The 13,173-nt window shown below is 43.9% G+C and overlaps 1 protein-coding gene and 1 pseudogene across 19 annotated transcripts in view; both read right to left on the bottom strand.

Annotated features, from left to right (window-relative positions):
- CYP20A1 (cytochrome P450 family 20 subfamily A member 1) overlaps positions 1-13,173 on the bottom strand; it is a 67,009-nt gene that overhangs the window by 40,123 nt on the left and 13,713 nt on the right. The gene's annotated exons all lie outside the window — the stretch shown is intronic.
- RN7SL670P (RNA, 7SL, cytoplasmic 670, pseudogene) lies at positions 6,007-6,300 on the bottom strand (annotated as a pseudogene).

Raw genomic sequence — 13,173 nt, 5'->3', positions numbered from 1 at the left:
GCCTGGCCAACATGGTAAAGCCCTATCTCTACTAAAAATACAAAAATTAGTCAGGTGTGGTGGTGCACGCCTGTAATCCCAGCTACTCAGGAGGCTGAAGCAGGAGAATAGCTTGAATCTGGGAGACCGGGGCTGCAATGAGCCAAGATCATGCCACCGCACTCCAGCCTGGGTGAAAGAGCGAGACTCTGTCTCAAAAAACCAACCAAACAAACAAACAAAAAACATTTGTAGATGTAATTAAATTAAGGATCTGTAATGAGATCATCCTGGATTTACGATAGAATCAAAATCCCTTATCTTTATATAAAATAAAGGTAGAAGGAAAATTTAAGACATAGATACACACAGAAAGTAAAGAGCTCTGAAAGAAAGACACAGAAAATGAATAACAGAATGTGGGTGCATGACAAATGAATAATTAGTGTACAAAATCAAAGTATAAAGGTGGGAGAGAGAATATGGAGTTAGTAAGACCCTGGCATTGTTGAGTAATTGGTAAAAGTTATCACTGACATTAGATTATAATAAGCCAAGAATGCCTATTGTAATCTCTAGGGCAGCGGTTCTCAACCAGGGTGATTTTGTCTCCAAAGGACATTCAGAAATGTTTGGAAACATTTTTTGATTGTCACAACTGGGGTAAGGTGCTACTGGCATCTAGAGGTAAAAGCCACAGATGCTACTAAATATCCTACCATGCACAGGATAGCCCTCTACAATAAATAATCACAGGCCTAAGTTTGAATACTGCCAAAAGTGAAAAGTCCTACTCTAAACAAATATTAAAATAGTTAAAATATGTAACTAATAAGCTAACAGAGAAAATGGAATACTCAAAAATATTTTATTATTTCTAAAGAAGGCATGAAAGAGGTCAGGCGCAGTGGCTCACGCCTGTAATCTCAGCACTTTGGGAGGCCGAGGTGGGCAGATCACAAGGTCAGGAGATCAAGACCATCCTGGCTAACGTGGTGAAACCCCATCTCTACTAAAAATACCAAAAATTAGCCGGGTGTGGTGGCAAGCATCTGTAGTCCCAGCTACTTGGGAGGCTGAGGCAGGAGAATGGCATGAACCCAGGAGGCAGAGCTTGCAGTGAGCTGAGATTGCACCACTGCACTCCAGCCTGGGCGACAGAGTGAGACTCCGTCTAAAAAACGAAAGAAAGGAAATATAAAAAAAATATAAAAGTATAAAAGAGGTAGCTCAAATAGAAAACAAGTAGCAAATGGTATACAAAGAGTAAAATTTAAACCCATGTGCATCAGAAATTTCATTAGCTATAAATGAACAGAATATTTCAATTAAAAGATTAAAATAGGCTGGATTAAAAAAATACAACTATATACTAGTCCCAGGAGAAATCCTCCAATTATGATGACAGAGAGGTTGAAAGTAAAATAATGAAAAACAATAAAACATTAAACACTAACTGAAAGAAAGCTAGTGGAGTTAATATCAGGAAAAATAAACTTTAAGGCAAGAAATATTACTAGAGATAAAGAGGGATATTTCATAACGACAAAGTAGTCAGTACCAAGAATATATAATAAGACTAAGTTGGAAAACATTCAATGTCCTAACTTCCAAACATATAAACCAAAAACTGACAGAGGCTAGACACGGTGGCTCATGCCTGTAATCCCAGAGCTTTAGGAGGCTAAAGTGGGAGGACTGTTTGAGGCCAGGAGTTTGAGACAAACCTGGGCAACACAGTGATACCTCAACTCTACAAAAAAAATTAAAAGTTAGCTAGGCATGGGGTGCACACCTGTACCAGCTACTTGGGAGGATCGCTTGAGTCCAGGTGTTCAAGGCTGCACTGAGCCATGATCACACCACTGCATTCCAGCCTGGGTGACAGAGCAAGAAATGTCTCTAAAACAAAAACAAAACACCCACGCCCCCCACACAAAAACCTGACAGAGCTCAACAGAGCTAAAATAAAAAATACACAAATCCACAATTACAGAGGAAGAAAACTCCTCTCAGCAGCTAAAAAGAACAAGCGTATAAAAAAGATCAACAACAGTAACAGAGCACACCATTTTATTTACCAAAAACAACCATATGCAGGGACACAGAGCAAGTCTCAAAGACATTTCAAAGGATTGAAATCATTGGTTCTCTGCCATTAGTGCAATTAAGCTAGAAATCAATACAAAACAGATAACTAGAAAAATTCTACCTTTCTGGAATTTAAGCACTATACTTGTAGATAACCCTTAAGCTAAAGAAGAAAGCACAATGGAAATTAGAAACTATTTTGAACTAAATGATAATGGAAATATAGCACATCAAAACTTGCATACGGGCCGGGAGCGGTGGCTCACGCCGGTAATTCCAGCATTTTGGGGGGCCGAGGCGGGCAGATCATGAGGTCAGGACATCGAGGCCATCCTGGCCAACATGGTGAAACCCATTCTCTACTGAAAATACAAAAATTAGCCAGGCCTGGTGGCAGGCGCCTGTAATCCCAGCTACTCGGGAGGCTGAGGCAGGAGAATCACTTGAACCACGGAGTTGGAGGTTGCAGTGAGCCGAGATCGCGCCACAACACTCCAGCCTGGCGACAGAGGGAGACTCCGCCTAAAATTTAAAAAAAAAAAAAAAGCCAGGCGCAGTGGCTCACGCCTGTAATCCCAGCACTTTGGGAGGCCGAGGTGGGCTGATCACCTGAGGTCAGGAGTTCGAGACCAGCCTGGCCAACGTGGTGAAATCCCGTCTCTACTAAAAATACAAAAATTATCCGGGCATAGTGGCAGGAGCCTGTAATCCCAGCTACTAGGGCGGCTGAGGCAGGAGAACTGCTTGAACCCAGGAGGCGGAGGTTGCAGTGAGCCGCGCCACTGCACTCCAGCCTGGGGGACAAGAGCAAGACTTCGTCTCAAAAAAAAACAAAAAACAGAAAACAAAAAGCACTTGCCGGGCACAGTGGCTCACGCCTGTAATTCCAGCACTTTGTGAGGTCGAGGCGGGCGGATCACGAGGTCAGGAGATTGAGACCATCCTGGCTAACATGGTGAAACCCCATCTCTACTAAAAATAGCAGGGCGTGGTGGCAGGCACCTGTAGTCCCAGCTACTCACGAGGCTGAGGCAGGAGAATGGCGTGAACCCGGGAGGCGGAGCTTGCAGTGAGCCGAGATCGCGCCAGTGCACTCCAGCCTGGACGAGAGTAAGACTCCGTCTCAAAAAAAAACAAAAAACAAACAACAACAACAACAACAAAAACTTGTATATGACAGAAATATAGAGGGAAATGTATAGACTTAAATTCATATATTGGGAGGGAAAGCACTGTTTATTAACGATCTAAGCAATCATCTCAAGAAACTAGAAAAAGAATAGCAAGTTAACCAATGAAAGCAGAAGGAAGGAAATAAACATAAGAGCATAAACAAAATTAGAAAACAAATATATAGAAAAAAAAGTTGGTTCATGTAAAAAAATTTAACAAAATTCGAAGACACTATATCAGTTACAAATGTATTGCCCCGACCTATAAATTCATTCTTTCTGCCTCGCTGTTAATAGACTTGCAGGTCTGGCATGGTGGTGTACATCTGTAATCCCAGCACTTTGAGGGGCTGAGGCAGGAGGATCACTTGAGGCCAGGAGTTTGAGGCCAGACTTGGCAACATAGTGAGACCACCATCTCTAATTTAAAAATAAATAATAAAATAAAATAATATAAAAATCGACTTGGGTCCTTTACATATTTTTCCTTTGCCACCTGGCATGATGTTAAGCTTTCTCAGTATAAGGTGCTAGAAAGGCATTTGTAAGAAGAGTTTTGCTTCTTTGTTCCCCTGCTTGTCACAGAGCAGGCCACTGTGATGTCTGAAGCTTTCCAGTGTCAGGGTCCTGCAGTGCACTGGAAAGCAGTCAGCAGCTTCCCCCATCAGCCCTCCCCTTGGATGCTTTTGTAAGAGATGTCCTCCAACCCTGCAGCACCTCCTGCAGCATGGAGTGGCCAGCAGCTTGCCCTGCCAACTCCCCGAAAACAGTTGTGCCTCAGGTGAGACACCTCTCCACGAACAGCTTTCCCCACCACCCTAGAGGACAGCATACTAGAGGACAAATTTCCAACCAGGTCCAAAGGGCAGATTTGCAACAAGTTTTGCTAATATGGCACCATAGCAACCCCTCTGCCATTCATAGCAGCTGTGGCTCCTCCAAGAAGCCTGAATCTGAGTCCTGAGGAAGAGGAGTCTTTTTAGTGCCCTCTGTCTTGGCTCTGGGGTTTGTGACTGTTCCATATATCTGCTATTCCTTTTTTTTTTTTTTTTTTTTAGGTGACAAAGGAGCCCAGGAGCTACAGGATGCAGTGCGCAGTGATCATGCCACTGCACTCCAGGCCAGGCTGGAGTGATCACTGAGCACTGCATCCTGTAGCTCCTGGGCTCAAGGGATCCTCCCATCCTCCTGCCTTGCCTCCTGAGTAGCTGGAACTATAGGCATGCACTACCATACCCAGCTAATATATATTTTTAAATTTTTCTTTGTAGAGACAGGGTCTTGCCATTTTGCCCAGGATGGTCTTAAACTTCTGAACTCAAGCAATCCTCCCACCTCAGCCTCTCCAAGTGCTGGGATTATAAGCATAAGTTACTGTGCCCAGCTGTATTCCTATATTCTTTAGAGTTCTCCTTAGAGTAGCCCCTATTATAATTCTTTATTTTTTTTTATTTTTGTAGAGGTGGGGTCTCACTATGTTGCCCAGGCGGGTCTTGAACTCCTGGACTCAGGCAATCCTCCCACCTTGGCCTCCCACAGTGCTGGGATTACAGATGTGAGCCACCATGCTCAGCCTATAATTCTTAATATAAAACTTTCTCTGTTCAAATAATTATATGCCTTCTCTCTCCCAATGGACCCATACAGATAAAGACCTCTGGAAACACTAATCAAGAAAAAAGAGAAAAAAAGAATAAGAAAAAAGAGAGAGAGAGAAAGCACTATGAATCTTAAAGACATTAAATATATAATGGAATGTTTGGCAATAAAGCAGGAAAACAAACTAAAAATCTTAAAGTTGGAAAAAAGGAAATAAATTATCATTAATCTCAGATACCAGCTGGGCTTGGTAGCCCATGCTAGTAATCCTAGGTCTTTGGGAGGCCAAGGACAGATGATGGCTTGAAGTCAGGAGTTCAAGGCCAGGGTGGGCAACAAAATGAGACCCTCTCTCTACCAAAAACAAAATTTAAAAATTAGCTGGCCATGGTGGCACACACCTGTAATCCTAGCTACTTGGGAGGCTGAGGCTGGAGGATCACTTGAGCCGAGGTGCAGGAAGGTGTATTAAGGTATGACTGTGCCACTGCACTCCAGTCTGGGTGACAAAGCGAGACCCTGTCTCTAAAAATTAAAAACAGGCCAGACGCGGTGGCTCACGCCTGTAATCCCAGCATTTTGGGAGGCCGAAGCGGATGGATCACCTGAGGTCAGGAGTTCAAGACCAGCCTGGCCAACATGGTGAAACTCCGTCTCTACTAAAAATATAAAATTAGCCGGGCGTCGTGGCACACGCCTATACTTCCAGCTACTTGGGAGGCTGAGGCACAAGAACTGCTTGAACCCGCGAGGTGGAGGTTGTGATGAGCAGAAATTGCGCCACTGCACTCCGGCCTGGACGACAGAGTGACACTGTCTCAAAAAATAAATAAATAGGCTGGGCACAGTGGCTCACATCTGCAATCCCAGCACTTTGGGAGGCCAAGGCATGTGGCTCACCTGAGGTCAGGAGTTCAAGACCAGCCTGACCAACATGGTGAAACCCTGTCTCTACTAAAAATACAAAATTTAGCTGGGCATGGTGGTCGGTGCCTGTAATCCCAGCTACTCAGGAAGCTGAGGCTGAAGAATCACTTGAACTTGGGAGGTGGAGGTTGCAGTGAGCTGAGATAGTGCCACTGCACTCCAGCCTGGATGACAGAGTGAGACTCTGTCTCAAAAAAAAATAAAAAGATATGCCTGTAATCCCAGCACTTTGGGAGGCTGAGGTGGGCAGATCACGAGGTCAGGAGTTCGAGACCAGCTTGGCCAACATGGTGAAACCCCGTCTCTACTAAAAATACAAAAATTAGCCAGGTTCAAGCGATTCTTCTGCCTCAGCCTCCCAAGTAGCTGGGACTACAGGCATGTGCCACCACGCCTGGCTAATTTTTGTATTTTTTGTAGAGATGGGGTTTCACCATATTGGCCAGGCTGGTCTCGAACTCCTGACCTCGTGATCTGCCCGCCTTGGCCTCCCAAAGTGCTGGGATTACAGGCAAAAGCCACTGTGCCCGGCTGCGACTGGGTAATTTATAAAGAACGCATGGTGCCAGGTGCCTACCTGGCTTCTGATGAGGCCTCAGGAAGCTTATAATCATGGCAGAAGGCAAAGGGGAGGTAGCAGGTCACATGGCAAAAGCAGGAGCAAGAGAGAGGGGGGAAGGTGCCACACACTTTTAAACAACATCTCACAAGAATTCACTACCGTGAGGATAGCACCAAGCCATGAGGACTCCACTCCCATGATCCAATCACCTTCCACCAAGCCCCACCCCCAACACTGGGGATTACAATTCAACATGAGATTTGCGCAGGGACAAATATTCAAACTATATCACTGACTAATGCCTAAATTAAGTACCTGGCTTGTGCTATGGGGTTGACAATACAAAACTAAAGTAAATTTCTCACATAACGACATAGTCTACAAACCAAAACTTAAAAAACCACCTTAATTTGCCTCTGAATGAGTAGGAGGAGAAAACAATGGAATATGGAACAACAGAAAAGACTGAAAGTTTGGAGAACAGAGCCTGTGATAAAAGATTAAGGAAGTCAGAATTACTTAGTTTGAAGCAGAGAAGACAAAATAATTAAGGCTTTTAACAATAATATTATTGAAAAGAAAAAGGTGCTTCTATCATGATTGAAAGCAAGGCAAAGAGAAATGGGCAAAATTCCTGGGGATACACAATTAAATACAAAATTATTTCTTACTGACAAATGTTGGGTATTTAAGCAGAATAGGAAGATTCTGACTGGTGAGTGCTTAAATAGAGGCAACATAACTGCCTCCAGGGAGGAAAATGAGAGGTAACAGGAACAGCTATGGCAAACAAAAAGCAGGCAGCCTGAGAGCTTCAAAGAACACGACGTATGTACAACCAATACAGAACCTTGAGATACAAAACAGGAATGGTAACAATGAGAGAATGGGAATTTGGGTGCACAAGCCTCCTGATAGCCCTGAGAATACTGGCTATCAGTTACAGATGAAAGCTGGAAAAGATAGAAACTAATCAGCAGCAACCACAGGCAAAGGAAGGTCTTGTTCAGTTTGTTTTTAGAAGCAGAAGTGTGCAGAGTAGAACCAATGTATTAATTAATGCTTACAGTGGACTGAGAAAGTCAGTCTCAAGTCTTAAATGGAAAGTGTGAGTTTCAGCTAGAACTTCCATATGGGAAAAATGGCATTCAACATTTACTAACCGTTTTTTTTTTTTTTTTTTTTAAACATAGGGTCCTGCTATGTTGCCCAGGCAGGAGTGCAGGGGCTATTCACAGGCACAATTATCACTCACAATACCCTTGAACTCCTGGGCTGATGCGATCCTTCCTCCTGAGTAGTTGGGAATACAGGCATGTGCCACTATGCCCAGCTTCCAAATGTAATTTTTAAAAGTGGATACTGTAAAGGCCTGAGGCACAGTGGCTCACACCTGTAATCCTAGTGCTTCGGGAGCCCGAGGCAGGAGGATCACTTGAGACCAGGATTTTAAGAGTAGCATAGGAAATATAGTGTGACCGCATCTCTACATAAAAATACAAAAATTAGCTGGGCAGGGTGGCACGTGCCTGTGGTCCTAGTTACTCAGGAGGCTGAGGCAGGAGGATCCCTTCAGCCCAGGAATTCGATGCTCCAGTGAGCTATAATTGTGCCACTGCACTTGAGCCCAGGCAACAGTGCGAGACCTTGACTGAAAAAAATAAAAAAAGATACCTGATTTACCCTAATGTGATTATTACACATTGTATGTCTGTATCAAAATACCTCATGTACCCCATAAATATATACACCTACTAAGTAACCACATTTTTTTTTTTCTTTTTGAGATGGAGTCCATGCACTGTTGCCTGGGCTGGTGTGCAGTGGAGCGATCTCAGCTTGCTGCAACCTCTGCCTCCTGGGTTCAAGCAATTCTCCTGCCTCAGCCTCCTGAGTAGCTGGGATTACAGGCGCCTGCCACCACGCCCAGCTAATTTTTTGTATTTTTAGTAGAGACGGAGTTTCACTTTGTTGGCCAGGCTGGTCTTGAACTCCTGACCTTGTGATCCACCTGCGTCGGCCCCCCAAAGTGCTGGGATTATAGGCGTGAGCCACTGAGACCGGCAAAAAAAAAATTTTTTAATGGATATTTTTAAATTTAATAAGGCATACTCTTAAGAGAACTACCAGATATTTAAATACAAAAATGCTTACAATGTGTAGTCAGAACATTTTTAGGAAGAATAAACAAAGTTATAGAAGAGGGAAAGGAAAATAAACCCAAACTGACCAAATGGAATTTTTTTTTTTTTTTTTGAGACAGTGTCTCACAGTCGCCTAGGCTAGAGTGCAGTGGCGCAACCTTGGCTCACTGCAACCTCTGCCTCCCAGGCTCAAGCGATCCTCCCGCCTCATAGACTCTCGATTAGCTGGGACCACAGGCATACACCACCATGCTCAGCTAATTTTTCTCTTTTTTTTTTTGTAGAGACAGGGTCTCATCACGGGAGGCCAAAGTGAGTGGACTGCTTGAGCCCAGGAGTTTGAGACCAGCCTGGGCGACATGGTGAGACCCCAACTGTATGTGAAAATTTTAAAAAATAATAAAAAACAAAAAAAAATCTTAATTTTATGTAAATATATCCAGTTGTTATGGAAGTTTAGAGATGGTACATGGAGGGAAGCATATTTAACTAAACTGGAGGCTGGAGTAGAAGTTAGCCATGCAAGGCTGGGAAAAATGTTTCAGAGGAGAAAAAAGACAGACCTATGGAAGTAAGAGAGGAGTCAAATAATTTAGGAACATTAAGTTATCAGTATTCATTCACTGATGTAATAAATATTGACTGAGGGCCTGCTCTATAACAAGAGCCAAGTATACAGCAGTAATCAAAATAAAATAGTCCCTACCTTCACGGAGCACACACTTAAGTGAGGGAGACAGACACTCAAAGGATTACAAAAAATAGAATTACTGGTGGGTGCGGTGGCTCACGCCTGTAATCCCAGCACTTTGGGAGGCTGAGGCAGGCGGATCACCTGAGGCTAGGAGTTTGAGACCAAACTGACTAACATGGCGAAACCCTGCCTCTACTAAAAATACAAAAATTACCGGGCGTTGTGGCATGCACCTGTAATGCCAGCTACTAGGGAGGTTAAGGAAGGAGAATTGCTTGAACCCGGGAGGCAGAGGTTGCAGTATGCCAAGATTGCACCACTGCACTCCAGCCTGGCAGACAGAGCGAGACTCCATCTCAAAAAGAAAATAAAAATAAAAATAAATAAATAAAACAGAATTATAAACCGGGAAAAGTGTTGTAAAGGAAAGGCACGGGGTGTTATGATAGCATCTAAAAGGGGAAACTGGCCGGGTGCAGTGGCTCATGCTTGCAATCCCAGCACTTTGCGAGATGAAGGTGGGAGGAACACTTGAGGCCACGAGTTCAAGACCAGCCTAGGAAACATAATGAGACACACGTCTTTACAAAAAATTTTAAAAACAACTAGCCAGGCATGGTGGCACATGCCTGTAATCCCAGCTACTCAGGCGGCTGGGGTGGGAGGATCCCGTGGGCCCAGGAATTTGAGGCTACAGTGAGCTATGATCAGGTCATTGCACTACAGCCTAGGCAACACAGCAAGACTCTGTCTTAAAAAATTAAAACAAAATAAATAAAAGGGGACCTATCCAGCAATGTGGGATGATCAGAGATAGCGTCCCTGGGGAAGTGACATTTAAACTAGGAGCTGAAAAATGAACACACATTAGCTTGGTGTGTGGATGACTGGAGGTGCATTCCACGCAATGGGAATAGCATAGACAGGCCCTGAGATAGGAGGGAACAGGGTACATCTGAAGACTTAAAAGAAAACAAGTATGGCTAGACTATAAGCCAAATGAGAATGTGGGAAACCAGGCTGGAAAAGTAGCCAGGCTAAATCATAAAAAGTCCTGAAGACTACATTAAAAATTTGGAGTTTGTCCCAAGAACAAAGGGGTTTTCAAACTAGAGTCCACAGATACCAAAGGGTCTGTTCATGGAATCCAGTGCAGTCCATGAACTTGGATCAGGGGAAAAAACAATCTTTCTTTTTAACTAACCTCTGAATGAAACTTAGCATTTCCTTCAATTGTGAGTATAGGCTCTGACTTTTTAAACCAATACAAATCTCAAAATATGTTCCGATTATAAATACTGGAAAAATCTCATAATAATAATTTTGGCCCTTGCATCACTACTTTAAAATCATGGAAGTTTCTGGAAGGATTATTAGATCTTGCTATTTAATACGTTAACAAAGAGGCAAATATAATATCATAGTTTTTTTAAAAAGTATTAATATTTTGTAACTATATTGGTTTGCTTTAGCTATGCATTTAAAAATGTTATTCTCAGGAGTTGAAGGTTTCATCAGACTGCCAAGAGGTATCTGTCAACTGCAAAGCACGGGAAAATACATGGGAAGGAAAGGGGAAAGAGAAATAAGCAATCCAGGTAAGATCATGGAAATCTAAACCAGGGTGATGGCAATGCTGGTGGGAGAGAAGTAGATCAATTAGAAAGGCATTTAGAAGGTAAAATTGACATTAGAGATTCTTTTCAAATGTGATTTTCTTTTCTTTTTTCCTCTTTTTTTTTTTGGAGACGGAGTCTCACTCTGTTACCCAGGCTGGAGTGCAGTGGCGCAATCTTGGCTCACTGCAACCTCCGCCTCCCAGGTTCAAGTGATTCTCATGCCTCAACATCCTAAGTAGCTGGGACTACAGACACGTGCCACCACGCCCGGCTAATTTTTCTGTATTTTTAGTAGAGATGGACTTTCACCATGGTGGCCAGGCTGGTCTGGAACTCCTGCCCTCAAACGATCCACCCACCTCAGCCTCTCAAAGTGCTGAGATTACAGGTGTGAGCCACTACACCCAGATCAAATGTGATTTTCAAAGAATACTAAGTGCTATAAAAATGCTTACAATACAATGGTAAATAAAAAACACAAAGACTATCCACGCAGTATAATCTGATTACATTAAAATTCTATTGTGCACACAAAACACCGGAATGATAACAATTTTTTTTTTTTTTTTGAGACGAGTCTAGCTCTGTCGCCCAGACTGGAGTGCAGTGAGTGGCATGATCTTGGCTCACTGCAACCTTCACCTCCTTGGTTCACATGATGCTTCTGCCTCAGCCTCCCGAGTAGCTAGGACTACAGGCATGTGCTACCACACGCAGCTAATTTTTGTATTTTTAGTAAAGATAGGGTTTCATCATATTAGGCAGGCCAGTCTCGAACTCCTGACCTCAAGTTGAGGCAGAAATTTAAAAATAAATATGCATTCATTCACTCTAAGTAACAGGGAAGGCAAGGGTTAAAAATAAAAGAACAAGGCCGGGCACGGTGGCTCATGCCTGTAATCCCAGCACTTTGGGAGGCTGAGGTGGTGGATCACAAGGTCAGGAGTTCAAGACCAGCCTGGCCAAGATGGTGAAACCCCATCTCTACTAAAAATACAAAAAATGAGCTGGGCATGGTGGCAGGCGCCTGTAATCCCAGCTACTCGGGAGGCTGAGGCAGAGAATTGCTTGAACCCAGGAGGCGGAAGTTGCAGTGAGCCGAGATCACGCCACTGCATTCCAGCCTGGGCGACAGAGTGAGACTCTGTATCAAAAAAAAAGAAAAAAAGAAAGAAAAGAACAAGTTTTCCTCTGCCTAGCAAGCTCACTTCAAGGACAGTTATAAGATAACACTGTCCAGAAAGCCAAGGCCAAAGGAATAGGCTCCAAACACCACCACCCCCATCCAGAGCAAGGTTAAAGGAAAAAAAAAAAGAAAAAGAAAAAGACAAATTTTTTTACTGTTACTCCTTTCCTTGGCTTCTTAAGCATGATTATGTATTACAAATGTCTGTATTTAACCAGTTCTTGTTTTTCTTTCAATGCAGCTACAAGCTCACCAGCTATGCAAGGCCACAACTTATGTTATGCTATAGATTATGTGACCTGTCACTGTATGATTAACTGCTTTTGTTTTGCTTCTGTAAATCTGCTTATAAAAACCACGTTCTGTCTTTGTTCAATGTTTAGTTTTTTGGATGTGAATCCACTGAGCCGGTGCGTACCTTAAAATAAACAATCCTCCTGTTCTCCATATCAGTCTCTCTGGTCCTCAGTTCCCCACAACATTTTTGGTGACCATGAAAGGACCCGAGATGGCAGGCTTACTGTCTCCTTTGCCTCTGGAGGATGGAGCCCGGAGCCCTGGGCCAGGGGAGACCTGTCACCCCAGGCACTGCCGGGAGAACTTCAGCCCATAGGGGAGATCAGCTCTCCCCTGACCTGGCGCCCCTACCCAGCAGCACAACAGAACCTAAAGAGGGGCTATAGGACAATTTCAGAAACAGTGCGCTTCAGGAACCGCAGTAAGGTTTTGGGGCCCAAGGCAGGACCCGTGGGGACAGAAGGGGAGCCTGATCACCTCCTGGGGTGTGCCGAATAGTCTGACCCAGAGGGGCTTGGGGTGACAAGAGTGGCTCGTCAATTCATATGAAACTCACACCCGAACCAACACAGGACGTGAGAGTGGCTCGCTAAGACAGTTACAAAAAGGAAACTGGAGGTGGCAAGAGTGGCTCGCCACCCCAACTAGGAAACTGGAGGTGACGAAAATGGCTCGCCACCCCAACTGGGAAACTGGGTGGCCACTCTCACCACCCCAATTACGAACATAGGAACTAGGAGTGGGGAAGTGTGTGAAAGTGTGTGAATGGAGGGCCCTAATTAGGCTCATCAACCGCGAAGTGGGGAGTCACAGATCTCTTAGCGTGGACTGTGTGCTCCGAGAAAGTGTGGGGCCAACTAAGACTAGTGGCAATCTGCATACGGCTAATAGGAGCTGCCCTAC

Source organism: Homo sapiens, chromosome 2, assembly GCF_000001405.40.
Source record: "Homo sapiens chromosome 2, GRCh38.p14 Primary Assembly".
Taxonomy (NCBI): domain Eukaryota; kingdom Metazoa; phylum Chordata; class Mammalia; order Primates; family Hominidae; genus Homo; species Homo sapiens.
The sequence above is the reverse complement of the archived record's forward strand: the minus strand, read 5'-3'. Positions and strand labels throughout refer to the sequence as shown.